The 18,157-nt window shown below is 46.2% G+C and overlaps 1 protein-coding gene across 28 annotated transcripts in view, besides 4 other annotated features; it reads left to right on the plus strand.

Annotated features, from left to right (window-relative positions):
- Window positions 1-18,157, plus strand: part of ACOXL (acyl-CoA oxidase like) — a 385,976-nt gene that overhangs the window by 62,097 nt on the left and 305,722 nt on the right. For all 28 annotated transcript variants that reach the window (NM_001437600.1, XM_011511414.4, NM_001142807.4 and 25 more), the window contains 4 exons: window positions 3,941-4,055; window positions 4,345-4,431; window positions 6,983-7,055; window positions 10,594-10,726. In NM_001437600.1, the coding sequence (NP_001424529.1) occupies window positions 3,941-4,055; window positions 4,345-4,431; window positions 6,983-7,055; window positions 10,594-10,726 (408 nt within the window). The remainder of the gene's footprint in view (window positions 1-3,940; window positions 4,056-4,344; window positions 4,432-6,982; window positions 7,056-10,593; window positions 10,727-18,157) is intronic.
- Window positions 1,736-1,935: a silencer, noted in NCBI's record as "fragment chr2:111553982-111554181 (GRCh37/hg19 assembly coordinates)". NCBI's record gives its function as "represses an EF-1alpha promoter that drives an FKBP-Casp9 reporter gene in an ReSE screen in HepG2 liver carcinoma cells {active_cell/tissue: HepG2}" and the evidence as "EXISTENCE:reporter gene assay evidence [ECO:0000049][PMID:32094911]".
- Window positions 4,286-5,485: an enhancer, noted in NCBI's record as "CDK7 strongly-dependent group 2 enhancer chr2:111556532-111557731 (GRCh37/hg19 assembly coordinates)". NCBI's record gives its function as "activates an origin of replication core promoter dependent on BRD2, BRD4, P300/CBP, MED14 and CDK7 cofactors, with strong dependence on CDK7, by STARR-seq in HCT116 cells {active_cell/tissue: HCT116}" and the evidence as "EXISTENCE:reporter gene assay evidence [ECO:0000049][PMID:35650434]".
- Window positions 5,983-6,588: an enhancer, noted in NCBI's record as "H3K27ac-H3K4me1 hESC enhancer chr2:111558229-111558834 (GRCh37/hg19 assembly coordinates)". NCBI's record gives its function as "activates a minimal SCP1, AML or CMV promoter by ChIP-STARR-seq in primed H9 embryonic stem cells {active_cell/tissue: H9 hESC(primed)}" and the evidence as "EXISTENCE:reporter gene assay evidence [ECO:0000049][PMID:30033119]".
- Window positions 7,435-8,114: an enhancer, noted in NCBI's record as "OCT4-NANOG hESC enhancer chr2:111559681-111560360 (GRCh37/hg19 assembly coordinates)". NCBI's record gives its function as "activates a minimal SCP1, AML or CMV promoter by ChIP-STARR-seq in naive and primed H9 embryonic stem cells {active_cell/tissue: H9 hESC(naive and primed)}" and the evidence as "EXISTENCE:reporter gene assay evidence [ECO:0000049][PMID:30033119]".

The following is an 18,157-nucleotide window of genomic DNA, read 5'->3' on the forward strand; positions in this document are numbered from 1 at the left end:
ACAGAAACAAGAGTGTCACCAAACGGTCTGACTCTTCTACCTTTACTCTATATGGTCAATGCTGAGGTTTTTCCTTTTCATTCTTTTCTTTGTCTTCCTTTTCCTTTCTTTTCCTTCTCTGTTTTTCTTCCTTTCCATTCCCTTCTTGCTAACTAAAAAGATGTTGGCTAAGTCTCTCTACATTGCTATCTCTGTCCATAGTGGGTCATAACATACCCTCGGGACGCTGCTTTGTAACCCTCATGCCCATCTCTTTAACTCCTACACGCACCCCGCCCCCGCCCCTCACCAAAAAAGAAAGCAACTGTGTACTTATCTCACTCTCCTTTATAGTTGCTTGCTTGATATTGGGTGTTCCTAAGAACTACAAAGGGATAAACAAATGTTGAGGTACTTTCTAGAAATGAAGCTATGTCAGTCAGTGTGTGCAAGCACGTGCCCGAGCGTGGCTGCGGGTGCTGCCTGGCCGTGTGGCTGCTCTGCTTCGTCTATTCTTTATTTTTGCAGTTTGTCCTTGAGCAGGTGGATTTTTGTTAGCGGGGTTTCCTGACCCAGGGTTGCTGGTTGGAGGTGGCCAATGTCTGGAATGACAGATGCAGGGGCGGGGTGTATTGGAGGATGCCCTGCTTTTCCTTCTGCCCTGATGTTAGTTCTCTCCAGCAGCAAATGATGTCCAAGATCATAGTAAGAACAAGTACTACCCTATACTGACCACTCGTAAAGTGCCATGCTGTGTATCAAACTCCCTCTGTGTAGTATTCTATGTTTCCCCCCAGCAACAGTCCCAGGAACGCAACATTAAACTGGTCCTTTTAACTAAGCATGGCTGTGCCATGTACCAGGCTAAGCAGTCTACTTGTAACATCATTTCATTTCAAATGTTCTGTAACCTTACGAAAATGTATTATTGTCCCTACTTTACAGATGGGGAAACAGAGGCTCACGGAGGTTAAGCAGCTGACTCTGGCTATGCAGTTAATGAGTGAGTTAGGTTCGGGTGAGACTGCCCTCAGCAGCTTGGCTTTTCTGCCAGTGGTGGCATGCTGACCTAACATCCTTTGGCTTTTGGCTGGCCGATTTTTTTCCTCTCCCGAAGCCATCGTATTAAGGTCACCTTGCTGTCGTTGATGGGGGGAAAACACCCACAGCTCTTATTTATTTGTTTCTTCTTACAATTATTACTTTTTTACAAAAATAATTTCCTGTGTTGGTCCCATTTTCCCCAAACAGCATAAATGACTTAGCTACCTGGCGTGCCTCGGCAGCTACCACTGTCTGATAGGGGACCTGCAAAGTTGCAATCATAATGACGAGGGGCCTCTGGTGAACACTGTCTCCCGTGGGGCTGGGAGAGAGAACAATCCCATCATAAACTCATACCACCGAGAACTGACATAGCAGGAATGTATTTCTCCCTTCACTGGGTTCTGTGTTTTCCCCTTCATTTCCCTTTCAAAATGCTAGAGCTTATTAAATAAGTGTTCTCTCCCCAAGGACCATTTAAATCTCTTACATGTTTTGGTTATTCATTCCTGTGGGTTGGTTGTTTTACATTTATTTTTGGGAGGTGGATTGGGTAGTGGTATGGATAGTTAAGAGATAAGAGAGAGTTTTATTTTTATACTTTATTCTAAATAGCAAAAATAAATGAGGTTATGAAGTCTCTGGCCAAAGGCATCATTTTTAGTTCCTACAACACTGACCATTTTGCTGGCCTTCAAACAAATAATGATTACAGAAACTGACACAATGGTGTGTGTTATTTAGATGCAGCTTTAATGCCCGAGTTTGGGCTGATGCAAACTTTCCAAATCAAGCATTTTGCCAGAAGTGACAAACCTCCTTTCCCAGAGTGTAGCAAATGTTTATGGGGACGGGTGGCCTTCTGCTCCCTTCCCCACCCCACCAGATCGTTTCTGCCAGGCCAATGTTTCCTCTGCCACTTCACTTTCTTACCCTGAGTGTAAGCATGCGCCCACCCACATGGGTTGTATTTTTGTTGCTGTTATTTTTCTCTGCACTCAGCCTCAAGCAATGCCTCTCCTTGAGAAGCCCTGGCTACCCTGATAAGACAAGGGTGGCCTCCAGAGACATCTCTTAAAAAGATCCAGCATGTCCGTTTATGTTTCTGAAAAGCTCTTGCACAAGTTAAAAGTTTCCCTGTGCAAACATATGTCAGAGAATGTTTTCTTAGGCTTCAAGACTGTATTTCTTGGCCAGCGGGAAAGTGTTGTCTATATACTTTATAGTCTGAAATCTGAGATAATCTTTGCACGATCAATAGCTTGTTGGTTTAGTTCAGTCACATCTTCAATACTGTCAACTCCAATTAAATGTGCAGTTCCACTCTCTGCCATTTCTCCTGGGCTCCCAACTTGCCCCAGGTGCCCTGTATTCAGAGCTGGCACCAGGGCCAGTTCCTTTTTGGCAAGAGGCTTAAAGGTAACCCAGGTGGCAGTGGAGACTGGGGAGAGCCAAGAAGTGAGGGGAGCATTTCCACTATCGGCTTCCAGAGAGTAGGACAGAGAAGACGGAGTTTTGAGCCGAGCCTGAGAACAAAACCCCTGCGTTTTCTTCCTGCTTCTTCATGACCAGTGTTAGTTTCAGACTGTTTTGAGCTGAAATCCTTGGACATATTCAGAGACAAACTGCATGGTACATTCTAAGATTTTTCCCTCCTAAGAAAGAGACTCATTTACAAGTTCTTCCATTTTAGGAGCTTGAACATATGAACCTCTTTTGGGAAACTTTATTATATGCATTGATCAGGGAAATAGAGAGACATTTTCAAAGGTTGAAATGAGGGATTTCTTTTTATAAAAATAAAAATTGGGCTGCTACTCTAAGCAGTGGTGGGAATAGGTCATGGCTGTCTATCAGTCTTGCTTTATCCAAGCGTACGGTTTTGGCCTTCAGTTCCCTGGCTTTCATTTAAACCAAGATCCATGTCATGGAGGCAGGAAGGTTCAGGGCCTGGGAAACAGCGAGGAACCAAGTGATTTGCCCAGAAGGAGTGAACACCAGCAGACAAAGTGCGACTCACAGATGCGGACCCTGGGACAAGCCATCTAAGGGCCCAGATCGTTGGATATTCCATCCTTTCTTAGAAATCTTGCAGGTGGGATATTTGGAGATGAGGGGCATGGAGAGCTGAGCATATACCACCAGGGCTTTTAGAGGTTTTGGTGTTGGATGAGTTAAAGGTCAAAACTTTGCTATGAAGTAGTCTAGCGAGATAATTGAAGAAAGCCTTTATACATTAAAGCCAGGCAGGCTCAGCCAAACAGCACACATGTCAGCCTGGCATTATAAAGAGGAGAGACTGGGAGGGAGAGAACAAACACCTTTTAAAGATTGAAAACTGGCAACTTATTTTCTGGATCAGATTATTCCTTGAAAAATCACTTTAATCTCAGCCATTTTCAAAGCTGAGGTGGAGGTGAAATAAATGAATTGAGGTGATAGCACAGCCATGTTGGTTTCAAGACGTGGAGCCAGGTGACCTTCCCATTGTCTTCTCTTCTGCTGTGAAATCCCCTGGAAACGGAACCCTGCACTGTGTGGTTCTGTTTTTCACAGTATTCATTGCTTTTTTTTTTTTTTTTGAGATGGAGTCTCGCTCTGTCGCCCAGGCTGGAGTGCAGTGGCGCAATCACGGCTCACTGCAAGCTCTGCCTCCCAGGTTCACGCCATTCTCCTGCCTCAGCCTCCCGAGTAGCTGGGACTACAGGCACCCGCCACCATGCCTGGCTAATTTTTTGTATTTTTAGTAGAGACGGGGTTTCACCATGTTAGCCAGGATGGTCTCGATCTCCTGACCTCGTGATCCACCCACCTCGGCCCCCCAAAGTGCTGGGATTACAGTATTCATTGCTTTGAGCCAGGGAGTTGAAATGAGCCATGGGAAGGGAAACACTGTTGCTCTGCTTTTTCTGTGTAGGAGTTTGTAATTGACACGCCGTGTGAAAATGCGGAGAAGATGTATATTGGAAATGCCATGTACGGGAATTATGCAGCTGTCTTTGCCCAGCTCATCATAGATGGAAGATCTCAAGGTTTGTTACCAATACAGACAACTAGAATAATTCTCTTCATTAGTACTATTTACCAGTGAAAAACCATTTCACAGAGCTGCTTTTATCTTGTAAATAATTCAGTACTAACTTTATCTCCTAATATGCATGAAGAAATTTATCATTACATTTTGACATTATATGCTCTCATGCTTGGTGCACAGTTGTAGAACTGAATGAGTTTGAGGATCACAGAAATGTTATACTATTCCAGGACATGAGTAAAGCTATAGGAAGGAGAGCTTAATAATGATCTCGATGCCTTCCTTAGGGCCCCACTGTTTCATCGTTCCTGTCCGGGATGAAAACGGAAGCTTGTACCCAGGAGTCACAGCTATTGATATGATGTACAAGGAGGGTGAGTCCCCAGGTGCCCTTTTCCTGTGCTCACTCTTCCTACCTGCTCCCCACCTGACTCAAGGAGAATCTAACCTACGTTATATTACCGAAGCACTGAGGGTGGAGAAAACTTCCCCAGAGAAGATGTCCAGATTTTGAAGCCTCATGAAGTCTTTTATGTAGAACTGTTCAGGAATGTCGTAGATTGCCTTTTATGAATGTGCATTGGTCTCAGTTTCTTCCAGCTTCTCAAATTTTCCAGTAATGAGGTAGTTTTGCCCACAATCCTGTTTTGTCTTCTCTCATCTGAGACTTGGGGGCTCTCAGGGGGCAGGCTGTAGCTCTCTTCTTTGTACCCCTGGCCACCTGTCTGCTCTCTGTGCTCTTGAGGCCCTTAATGAGTCCTGAGGACTGACTCAGTGCCCTAGTTTGCTAGGGCTGCCATACCGCTAACTGTGGGGCTTAAACAACAGAAGTGTATTGTCTCACAGTTCTGGAGGCTGGAAGTCCAAGATGACGGTATCAGCAGTGTTGGCTCCTTCTAAGAGTGGTGATGAGAGGTGAAGCCAGCTGAACTTCCTGGTTCCAGAGGGGACTTGGAGAACTTTTCTGTCTTACAAGAGGATTGTAAAATGCACCAATCAGCACTCTGTAGCTAGGATTGTGAAACGCACCAGTCAGTGCTCTGTAGCTAGCAAGGGGATTGTAAAATGCACCAATCAGTGCTCTGTAAAAATGCACCAATCAGTGCTGTGTAACTAGCAAGAAGATTGTGAAATGCACCAATCAGTGCTCTGTAAAACTCACCAATCAGCGCTCTGTAAAATGCACCAATCAGCGCCCTCTAAAATGCACTAACCAGCGCCCTCTAAAATGCACCAATCAGCAGGAGTCTAAAAGTAGCCAATCGCGGGGAGGATTGTAAAAAGGGCACTCTGATAGGACAGAAACGGAACATGGGAGGGGACAAATAAGCAAAGAAAAGCTGGCCACCCCAGCCAGCAGTGGCAACCCGCGCTACTTGCTGTGGAAGCTTTGTTCTTTCACTCTTCACAATAAATCTGGATGCTGCTCACTCTTTCGGTCTGTGCCACCTTTAAGAGCTGTAACACTCACCATGAAGGTCTGTGGCTTCATTCTTGAAGTCAGCAAGACCACGAATCCACCAGCAGGAACCAACTCCAGACACAGTGAGGGAAGGATTTGTTCTAGGACTGTGTCTTTGGCCTGTAAATGGTTGTGTTCATGTTAACCTGGTGTTCTCCCTGTGTTCATGCCTGTCTCCAAATTGCCCCATCTTACAGAGAACAGAAGCCATTTAGATTAGAGCCTACCCCAATGACCTCATTTTAATTTGATCACATCTGTAAAGACTATCTTCAAATAAGGTCACATACACAGGTATAAGGATTAGGGCTTTGATACATGAATTTTTTTTTTTTTTGTGGGGAGGACACAATTTAACCCATAAGATTTGGTGAGATCAGGACATGCCTGTATGCTCCAGTGACCACTCAGGGCCAAGATCATGCCAAGCCAAGGAAGGGAGACTGGGAGAGAAGAAAAAAAAGAAGGAAGAGAAGAGGGAAGAAGTGGCCCATCCTTTAGTGGAGGGGACAGTCCATCCTGGCCCCTTAGTGTTTACTGTGCACTGCCATGGCTGCAGGCATGGCCGCAGGTGGGTTTGTGAGGGTTTTAGATGTATCTCCCGGGGGTGACCGAGGCCCTGGCTGGGCTGGGCTCCTTGAAAGTTCCTTGCATGTCAGATGTTGCTGAGAGCAGAGGGGTAGACTGAGCTCTGTGAAGTCGTGCCAGGCATTGAAAACACTGGCAATGGCAGAAAGTCTGCTCTGGTGCCCTTGTAAGCTGCTACATGCAAGTGTGTCCTTGTCAAGGGGTGAAGTTCTAAATAAAGACATTTACTAAAGACAGATTGTTTTCCCCTAGGTTAAATCTCTCTAAGTTTTCACAAAGAGAAGACCCCAGACTCTGGCAGGTGTCTTTAGGAAATGTGTCTGCCAGATTTCAGGACCACCCCTCCCCACTCCGCACTGCTTCCCCCACTTCCTGCTGTCCTTGTGGCTATTTTCCCTTGTCTTGTAGGCATTTGCTGTCAACAGTTTGCCCTGTGTGCAGACGAGAGAGCACTGGGAAGGAGGAGGGATTTGAGCACTGCATTCCTGGGGAGAGCAATCCTGCTACCCTGCCTCTGTGTTCAGCTTCCCATTCTTGCAGTTGCTTAGAACTCTCCCTTTCTTAATCACAGTCACTGCTCGGGAGGTAGGTGTGCATCCACTACATGCCCAAAGCATGCACATGCAGGCTGCACAGAAGGAGAGTCCATTCTCCTCCACTCTCGCTAAGGAGGAAGGGGCCAGGCTGGTGGAAGAAACAGGCACAGCTCATCAAGGAAACAACAGACAACATCCCCATGTCCACCCCCAAGGAAAAAGCACCAACAATTCTGGAAGTAAAATAAGGGGCTTTGTATTTTAGTGGCGACAGGCCTGGGAAGTAGCAGGGAAAATACTTCTGATGCTGCATCCATTTCCCCTTTCTATTCTTGCCAGGTCTGCATGGTGTGGACAATGGGATATTAATATTTGACAAGGTTCGGATACCCAGGGAGAACCTGCTGGATAAGTGAGTAGTTTCTCCTTAACTCAGGTCAATGGTGCAGATGATCTCACTGCTCTCCAAAGTTGGCTTGGGTCTTGGGTCTCATGGGCTGCATGTCTGGGCATTCTTCCCCTAACCACCCGTACAGGTTTGTTGACAACTAATTGGAAAAGATACGTCTGCAGATAGAAAAAAGAAAGTAAAATTATTCAGCATGCTGTTGTCCAGGCATAATGACTGTTACACTTCAATATACATCTTTCCAGACTTTTCTCTATGCCCATATGTCTAAAGAGAGAGAGGTGTCAGATTTTTACTAAGCGAGATCCACTTCTAGATTCTATGTTCAAAATAACCTGTAATTCCCATTTATCATTATATAGCAAATGTTTTTATGTAATGCTAAGCACACACATGCATTATCATCTTTAATATCACTATAATGGACTGTTAAATAAATGGTTTATAAGTTATGTAATCAATTTCTTATTGTTGGGCATTTAGTTTTTTTTCCTTCCCCCCCCTGCCATTACAAACAGATGGGTGCTATTGCTTCCTTTGTGAGTGGCAGAGGATAAGGCACCATCTTTCAGCTTCCAGGTGTGTTCTGGGGGTGGAGCTCTAGGGGTTAATGATGCTTTTCACAGAAGCTGAGAAACACCAATTACTTTTAATTTTCTCAGCAGCGTTTCACGCATCCAGTAAAGATCCTGAGCCATAGTCATGTTAAATCTGTGACAAAGCCAGCAATCAGGGTACACACAACCAGCTGTTTTCCCACCTCCCCATGGGTTTCCCTTGAATGCTTTACTCCTTTTTGTTGCCAGCAGATAAATGTAGTGGATGCCAAAAGCTTAAGAAAATTATATGGGAAAAAACCTTAAAAATGATTGGTATGACAAACCCCCATGACACAAGTTTACCTATGTAACAAACTTGTACTTGTACCCCTGAACTTAAAATAAAAGTTAAAAAAAAATGGAGGGATAAGGAAGTAGAGGATAGAATAGTGGTTACCAGGGGCTGGGAAAGGTAGGGAGGAGGAGGGGATGGGGAGAGGTTGGTCAATGGATACTGTTACAGTTGTATGGAAGAAATAAGTTCTGGTGTGATATTGTACAGCGTGATAATAGTTAACAATAATGTGTTGTATATTTCAAAATAGTTACAAGTTTTGAATGTCCTCATTCCAAAAAATTGATAAATGCTTCAGATGATGAATATGCCAATTACCCTGATTTTATTATTATACAATATATAATGTATCAAAACATCACACTGTATTCCATCAATATGTACAATTATTATATGTCAATTAACAAAATAAAGCAAAAAGAAAAAGAAAAAAACTTAAAATGGACCAAATTCTGCTTAACATTTTCCTCCTGTGAATTGATAGGAAATAAAATGGAAACAATAAAAGCATCTTCACAGTTATCCTGGTGGGTGCTAAAGTCCCCCAGGCCCCCTCAGGACCACCAGCATTCATATGGAAATGCAGGAAACTTAGAATAGCCAAAACAATCTTGATAAAGAAGAACAAAGTAGGAGGACTCATACCTGTGATTTGAAAACTTACTACAAAGTAATCAAGACAGTGTGGTATTTGAATAAGGATAGATATATGTACAATGGAATAGAATGAAGAATCTAGAAATAAATCCTTACAGTTACAATCAATTAATATTCCACTGCAGAGCCAAGACAATTCAATGGGGAAAGAATAGTCTTTTTGACAAATGGTGCTGGGACAAACTAGATAGCCACATGCAAAAGCATGAAGTTGGACCTTTACTGCCTACCATATACAAAAATCAACTCAAAATGGATCACAGACCTAAATGTAAGAGCTAAAACTACACAAATCTTAGAAGAAAACACAGGTGTGAATTTTTGTGACCTGGGTTTAAGCAGTCTATTAGACGTGGCACCAAAAGCACAACTAACCAAAGAAAAAATAGATAAATTGGACTTCATCGAAGTTATAAAAAACTTTTTGCATCAAAGAACACTATGAATAAAGTGAAAACCTACAGAGTGGGAGAAAATATTTGTAAGTCATATATATTAATATAAGGGTATAGTATCCACAATATAGAAATAACTATTACAGCTCAAGAATAAAAAGACAACCCAATTTTAAAATGAGCAAAAATCTGAATAGACATTTCACTAAAGATTTACAAATGACTGCTAAGCATATGAAAAGATGCTCAATGTCGTTGCCATTAGGAAGATACGAATCAAAACCACTGTGAATACCACTCTGCACCTACTAGGATGTCTTTTTTTTTTTTTTTTTTTGAGATGGAGTCTTGCTGTGTCGCCCAGGCTGAAGTGCAGTGGTGTAATCTTGGCTCTCTGCAACCTCTGCCTCCTGGGTTCAAGTGATTCTTTTGCCTCAACCTCCTGAGTACCTGGGATTACAGGCATGCGCCACCATGCCTGGCTCATTTTTGTGTTTTTAGTAGAGATGGGGTTTTGCCATGTTGACCAGGCTGGTCTTGAAATCCTGACTTCGGATGATCCTCCCACCTCAGCCTCCCGAAGTGCTAGGATTACAGGCATAAGTCACCATGCCCAACTGATGTCCCTTATTAAAGGGGCAGACGATAACAAGTGTTGGGGAGGATGTAGAGAAATTAGGACTGTTTGTTATACATTGCTGGTGGGGCTGCAAAATGGTGGCACCAACTAGGAAATCAGTTTGGCCGTTCCTCAAAAGTGTAAAGTTATCATCTTATGACCCAGCAATTCTACTCCTAGGTATGTGTGAAAACGTTGTCTACAAGAGAAATGCAAACCTATATCCACACAATAAATTATACACAAATGTCCATAGCATAATTATTCACAATAGCAAAAAGGGGAAGATAATCCAAATATCCATCGACTGAGGAAACAGGAAATAAAATGTGGTATATCCATACAATGGAATACTATTCAACCATGAAAAGAAATGGAGTACTAACACGTGCTACAACACAGGTGAACCCTGAAAACATTATGCAAGTGAAAGAAGCCAGACATAAAGACCAAATGTGATATGATTCCATCTATGTGAATTTTTTCCCAGAACAGGCACCATAGAGAGAGAAAGTAGGTGAATGGTTGCCAGGGACTGGAGGGAGGGGAGTATGGGGAGGGACTGCTAGTGGGGTGGGGTTTCTTTTTGGGGTGGTGAAATGATTTGGAATAGGATCATGGTGATGGTTGTACAATTTCGTGACTATACTCAAATCCATCAAATTGTACATGAATTTTATGGCATGTGAATTACATCTCAGTTTTTAAAAAGTGGGTCAGTGTGCGGTCTGCACAGTCAGGCTCCGGTGCTGGTTTAATGTCTCAGGAAACCACTACCTCCCATGAGTCAAGCCTTTCTCAGCATCTCTTGGAGAGGGACTCCCCCTGCCCTTATCGGCGCTCTGTCTCAAGGGGGAAGTTCCACGATGGGGAAATCCGAGTGCTTCCCTGTGTATGCACATGGGAGCCACCTGACTTCGTTTCTGGTGGTGCTATGTCCTGCTTTTTTGTGAAACCCCACCTCTCTTTTCCACAGGTTTGGTTCCGTGGCTCCAGATGGACAGTACCATTCGCCTATTAGGAACAAGAGTGCAAGATTCAATGCCATGCTGGCAGCACTGACCCCTTCGAGATTAGCTGTGGCTTTCCAAGCTATGGGTGCCATGAAGGTAATTGACTCTGATTTTAACTTAATTATCTACTGTGAATTCTCTCACGACTCAGGGATGAGTAACAATTCCAGGAGCTGAGCTTCTGGAGCCACAGTTGGTATAATATGGCCAGGGTTCCCGGTTAGATGCTGGGGAGTGCCAGGTGGCCATCCACAGGGAACTTTTCTCCACCCTTCTTAAGAGGGGCTCCCACCCATCTACATCCCAGATGTGTGCTGCTAATCGTGGGGGTGGAGCACAGGCATTGTGGTAAGAGAGCCAGGAGAGATGACCAGGGAGAACGGGATGTTCAGAGCAAACACATCTGCTGGAGAAGCAGCTAAGGGTTGGCCCATGTGGGCAAAGGTCGGCATGTCTTGGCTGAATTCACCTGGGAGTGTTGATCCTCATGTGTCTGTATAGGGTGTAACGTTCTCCATCACAGTCTGGAGGCCATGAGACCAGACCTCCAGGAGCCATCTCTGCCTCCCTGCCCTGCCTCTCCCGTGTATTGGTTGGACAGAGGAGCCTGGAGAGCAAAGCTCTGGAAGGGCCTCCTTCTCCCCAGGGCCCCAGTCTACTTTGTTCTCTGGGCCTTCTCTGTCTCTTTGCCTGAAGGAAAAGCCTGCTTTAAACTCCACTGAGCTTGGTGAAGCTAGAAGAAAAATTAAGTCTCCCCAGGAATATACATCTGGGGCTTGAGTCCAGCTTTTCCATGAAGAAGGAATAAATTTCATTCCCTTGACTCCAGGCCTGACATCAGTCCGGAGTCGTCTGAATAGCAGGAAAGCCCTGCTTTACTTGCTTCGGGGTCGGCCACGCTTCACAGATGGCCTGTCCTGACCCGGGCTTCCCCTTATGATGCTTCCTGTGAGGGGGCACAGCTGTGGCCATCAACACGCGTACGCGGCCTGGCCTCGTGCCCGCCCGTGCACCCCAGTTCCTGTGCTTGTTTTGTGGTGGTTCTTTCAGTGGGGCCGGGTGGGTGTTCAGGTCTGAAGTCCCAGGTCAGGAGGGGCTCAGGTCCCTTGGCTGAACTGTCTGATATTGAATGAGGCCCCAGAAAGCCTTGTGGTGAAGGCACCAGCACAGACAGCATCAGAGTGCCGAGGAAAACTGGTTCCTCAGGTCTGCAACAGAAGCCATTTCAGCCATCCTCAGGACTCCAGAGAGAGGCAAAAATAGAAAAGCCAGACGAGCCTAGGATTGCATGAAAGGGAAGATTGGTTAAACATCGGATGCAGGGTTAGCTGAAGCTGTGATAGCAGTCTCTGCACAATATCCCCTCTAATTGCAGTAGCCTGCAGACCATCCTGACTCAGGGGCCCTCTGAGGAGAGTGCTGGGCGCATATAAAAAACGCAAGGTGGTCAGCGGCCAGGCAGGCTCCTGGGAAACCTTGCACTCTTGCTGGTTTTGATGGGGTGATGATGTGTGAAGGACGTCCATGCCGCCAGCAGCCCTGCAGGCTCATTGGGGTCCACAGTGGGGTTGTGTGGGGCAAGGTGTGGGGTGGTGCAGACCAGACCAGGCAGAGGTGGGAGCCTTCCAGGAGGGCCTTGGTTTTAAATATCACCAGATCTGGAGCGGGGTGGGGGTGGTGTCCCAGGGAGAGGAGCCACAGTGGGTGATTCCTAAAAGGTTCCTGTTCTCCGTTCTACTGGATGTTATCATGGACCAGCCCCTGCCAGGCCCAGGAGGGTCTTGGGGGCCACATTCGCATCAGTTCCTTTATTGGTTGTCTCATGTGCAGACTTCATTCCCGGCAACACGGAGACGTGATCATGATCGTGGGCAGGAAAGCCCTGGGCTCAGCCCTCATCCTGCCCATGACCAGCACTGGGGCCGTGAACAGGCCATAGCGCTCTCTAGGGCTCAGTTTCTTCATGTGTGAAATGGGTCTTAGGATGGTGGTGAGCCATGAGTGAAGGGTGTGTGTGCAGCGCTGGCCCAGAGCGATGCTCCATAGCTGACAGCTGTTATTTGTGTGATGGTTGTTGTTGTTGTTTTTGTTGCTGCTGCTGCCGTTACTGGGAAGACAGGAGTTGGCTAAAGGAAAGGAAGACATGGGCATTCCCATGAAACAAATGCTGGGTACCCTCGCCTCCAAGTAACAAGGCAATGTGCAATGTTTTGCAGAGATGCATAGTGTCCTTTGAATTCCCAGGTGTCTGAAGCAAACCACAGTAACCCGGAGTTAGCACCTGCCCTGCCTATCCAGACCTTGCCAGGCAATGGGATTGTCAGGCAGTGGGAAGACCCCGCACAGAGCCAGCAGGGTCCAGGCACCCTGCCGGACAGTGACCCGGGCCGCTGTGATCTCATCTCCAGCGTCTCTGGTGAGGATGATCTCACCGGCCCTCTTGGCAGCTCTTCCTCTCCTATGGCTCAAACACATGACATATGTTTTCCCGGCTGAAACCTAAGATGGTCCTTCTCCTTCTGCTCTTGCTGATGAGTGGAAAAATGGATCCGTTTCTCCTACGTGCGTTCCTTGTGTATTAAAAAACTGTCACCGCAGCTCCCCACAGTGACATTCACTCAAGGCTGAGCGTGCCCGGTCATTTTAAACTTTGCCCAAATGTCATATTTTTCATGGTTCTCTTTCATTTCCATGGCATTCCTTGGAACTTTCAGGTTTTCTCTTAAAGCCTTGCCATATTGACCATCATCTAATTTGTGTCAGAAATGCCACACCAAATTAAGTGATTACCAAGAACACGAGGAGAAGGAAGCAAATGTGTTTGGGAGGGGAGGGAGTGGGGGCTTGGGAGACCTCTGCAGCCTGTGCTGGGAGGCTGGGAAACCTTTTCAGAAGGAGGAAGCTGGGCACCTGAAAGAGTGAGAAGTGTAAATGAGGTCTGGCCCATTCTCTTGGGTTGATTTTGCGCAGAGGTAAATATTTTAGCTAAGACAAGCTCATCTTGTAAATTAGGTGCTGCACAGTAGCTAGGTCCTACCCCCAGGATGTGTGATTCTGCAGCTCTGGGGTGGGGTGGAGAGTCTGCATTTCTGGGTTCCCGGGTGACACTGCTGCCATGGGCTCTGCTCCTTGAGACCCCTGCACAGAACACATGGATGTGGTTGTGAAATATCAGCACTGTCTCAGCCCCCTTGTCACTCCCTGGGTCCCCAGGATCAAGGCCCAAGTTCTGTTTCTGTATCCAGGATCCTTCATGACTCCTCACTGTACCCCCTCTCTCCACTGGGCCTCTGTCCCTCTGGCCTCATTTCTGTCTCTCCCCTGTGCCACTGTGGGAGGGGGCTTACATGTGCTACCATCCAGCTGGGGATGCCCCCCTTTTGCATGGGTTGTTTTCATGTACATTTCAGAGCTTGTATGACTGTCCCTTCTTCAGAAAGGCCTCAGCCTGCATGTGGTTCCTCTGACACCTGTTCCCAAGGCACTGGACTCCCCACTTGCAGCATGTATTACAACTCATGAGTGTAGCAACTCATGTGCAATAGGTGGGTTCTGTCTCCTTCACTAGCCTAAAAGCTCCACGCAGCTGGGGCCCTGCCAGCCTCATCCACTGCTGTGTGTTCAGCTTCACACACAGGGCTGGGCACATAGCAGACAAACAGCAAATAGGAGTGGAAAGAGTGAATGAGGTCTGAATCAGGATTCACATCCAAAGCCCCTGGCTTATCTCTTAGCAGAGGGAAGCCCTCAGTGCATGTTGGTTCTTGTGCTCCCACATACCAGCCCCCACTGCCGGGTCCATGTTGAGTGGGAAGGAGGATGTTGCTGCCTCTTTGATCTAACTCCACGTGGCCCTTCTGTCCAGAACCAGGAGTCTTCTTTCTTTCTTCCTCTCTGTCGCAGACACTGCTCCCCATAGTATGTGCTTCATGTGTACACACTCGTGCATTGTGCTGTAAGCAGGCACTGGGGTCGTGCTCACCTACACTTGGCAGTGTGGCCCTGGTGGTCTGGGAGTGTGCCCAGGGCTGGGGCTGCAGAGTCACATGCAGCAGCTGAGCTGCGGGGCTGCATGCTGAGTGCAACCAGCATTCTGGGCTGTTTTTTCAGGCACGTGGGTGCTGGGCGGCAGACAACTCAGCCAGTCCTGAGAGCCTGAACGATGATCTCCAAGTTGTACAGCGTGCCACATATGAGATGGGGGTAGCTTTTCCCAGCACCAGGAGCTTCAGGGAGAGCAAAGGGAAGAAACTGGCTTCAGGGGATTCTCAGAACCGGCGATAGACACACAATCTTTTCCTACGGTGTGCATTGTTGGGTATGAGTGAAGGGTCTCAGCAAGGCATGGGAGAGTCTCTCCCTGCTGTTGATGGGGGTTTGAAATGGGTTATTGCATCCTTGAGTAACCCTTTTGTGACCTTCTGACTGCAAGGGTTCATGGAAGACTTGAGCAATGAAGAGGAGGTTGAGGGCATCTGAGTCCCCTTGAGAGCCAGCCAGGGTTGGTCAGTGGCCAGTGTGGGCCCTTCTCACCGCACATGGAGTGGTGGTGTGGCTCTGTGGGCCTGTGCTGTGTTAGGTGAGCACAGCAGGCTGCATGCTGCCACTGCTGTGAGGTCTTGCTTGGGATTGCCCCTTCACCCAAGCTCTTCCACAGCTCCAGAGAGGTCCTGATGTCGATGTCCTCACCAGGGTGTCTGGCTCCTGGTCATCCGGCTCTCCACCACTCAGCCTGTCTGGTTCAGCTACTGGCTGGGGCTGGGGCAGATCAGCAGGTGTCAGAGTGTCACATTCTATCTGTCCTAATGGCCACAAACCAGGTGCCATGACACTTCCTCCTGAGCAGAAGGTTACTCAGCCTCCTCACATTAATAATCTCAATGTTTGTGGCTATTGCTGTAACACGATCAGGCCTTTGTCTGTTTTCTTTTTGCTTGGAGGTCATCTGCTTTTATTGTCTTCTGGAATCACTTTGTGTTCATCTATTCTTGTCACAGATTGATCTCATTTTGTATCATTACTAACACAATCTTTAATGGGCAGGGATTGTGTTTTTTTATTTAGTCCCTGCAAGGCCTAGTAGAGCCCTACATGTCATGGAAATCGTTTTACTCTTCTAACCTTCCTTCCATGTATTGCCTATTCATCCACCCACCTGTTCAACCACCTGTCCGTCTGTGTCCATCCACCTATCCACCCACTCACCCATTCACCCACCACCCATCCATCCACCCATCCATCATCCATTCATCATTCATCCATCATCTGTTCATCCATCCATCATTCATCATCCATGCATCATTCATCATCTGTTCATCCATCCATCATCCACCCATCCATCATCCATCCATCCATCCATCATCATTTATCCATCCAATAATCCATTCATCCCACCCATCCCACTACAAAGACTCTGAACACAAGAGTAATCAGCTCATGTATAATTTAGTAGTTAATGGGGAGTGTATTAGTCCATTCTCACACTGCTAATAAAGACATACCTGACACTGGTTAATTTATAAAGAAAAGATGTTTAATTGACTCAAACTTCAGCATGGCTGGGGAGGCCTTAGGAAACTTACAGTCATGGCAGAAGGGAAGCAAACACGTCCTTCTCCACATGGCAGCAGCAAGGAGAAGTGCTCAGCAAAAGGGGGAAAAGCCCCCTTATAAAACCATCAGATTTCATGAGACTCACCCACTATCACAAGAACAAGATGGGGGAAACTGCTCCAGTGATTTAATTATCTTCACCGGGTCCCTTCCATGACATGTGGAGATTATGGGAACTATGATTCAAGATGAGATTTGGGGGGAACACAGCCAAAGCGTATCAGGGAGTTATGGAATGTCCTAGAGAAAACCATTCGACTACCTGATGGACACCACACTTCACAGAAACTCCTCAGGCAGGAGTGTTCAAGGAAAGGACAGAGGCATTCACCATTCTCAGAGCCTGTCCTTCCTTCAGCAGCAAAGGGCAGAGTAAGGAGTGTCTCTGTAGGTCTTGCACGGTGGGGGGTCAGTGTGGGGACTGAGTTGAATGGGGTTGGTGGGAACGGAAACCCTCTGATGTTGAGCACAGTGGGACCTCTGCCTCCGCAGACAGTGTGGCATAACAGAGGGTGATGGAAGGGGAGGCTATGGGCTCTTTAAAGTAATGTCCTGAAAATGTGTGGTGCTCACAGGAGTGTGTTTCCCTGATATTAATAAGGCAAAGCTGACCGATGCTCATTCTGTTGACACTTTTGTGATGTGGTGGCCTTACTCATCTGCTCAGATGGAACATGGTGTTGGGGAGTTGAAAGCACAGCTCATCTGCTGCAGTTTTATGCCTTTTCAGGCACGTTGTATGTGCTTGGAGGAGGTGGGGTCACATTGCTCATCCTGTTCTGCTCAGACTGACGTTATCCTTTTTGTTTTTTTTGCATACACACACACACACACACACACACACACACACACACACACACACACACACACACACGCGGGGAGGAGAGAAGCAGGACCTACTTGGTTGCTGGGGAAGTCCAGTGGGATGAAGGCTTTAGCCTGAGTGATCCTCAGAGAGGCCATCTGTGAAATACACAGATTGTTTCCTGGTGTGGAGACTTCTTGGACTTGACCACCAGAGGGCAGAAAATACCAATAATGACTTGCAGGTTCTGTTTTCTTTGCGTTTATTTACTTTCGTATGTAAGAAGTGGGGAGGTTTTTGCTCTTGTCATCAGTTTATTTAGCTTCTCATCAGGCATCAGTGTTGATTTTTAAAAAGTGTCAACATAAGAAGAAGGATACATGAGCTGAGTAATTGTTGGACTCAAGACCAAGGTTGTAAATAGGATGTAGAGTTATTTTGACAACTCTTCAGGATATAATTTGACTCATAAACCTCTTTAAAAACATATGTTTGCAGCATTTTGGATGGGTATAAAATGGTTAAATAATGTTTTTTGGTTTTCTATAGCAGTTGTTTACATATTTAACAACCGAAATTTAAACATTTGTCCTTTTTGTAACCTTTTATTTTAGGTTGGGGAGTACATGAGAAGGTTTGTTACATAGGTAAACTCATGTTATGGTGGTTTGTTGTACAGATTATTTCATCACCCAAGTATTAAGCCCAGTACCCAATAGTTACCTTTTCTGCTCCTCTCCCTCCTCCCCACTCCCTCCTCAAGTAGACCCCACTGTCTGTTGTTTCCTTCTTTGTGTTCATAAGTTCTCATCCTTTAGCTCCCACTATAGGTGAGAACATGCCGTATTTGGTTTTCTGTTTCTGTGTTAGTTTGCTGAGGATAATGGCCTCCAGCTCCATTCATAAACATTTCTCCTTAAAAGATACATCTACTGCCCTTTTCCTCAAAGACCGAAGAGCTAGAGAGAAGTGCAGCCAGAGATAGTAAGTAGCACAGGACATGTGTATCTGAAATGGATATTTGAAAGAATTTCCATTTTGAATTTGCTTCGATTCCACGAAGACGTGTTGTACGCCTTCCTCTCAGCACTGTGAATCGTGCTAGGAGG

Source organism: Homo sapiens, chromosome 2, assembly GCF_000001405.40.
Source record: "Homo sapiens chromosome 2, GRCh38.p14 Primary Assembly".
NCBI lineage: Eukaryota > Metazoa > Chordata > Mammalia > Primates > Hominidae > Homo > Homo sapiens.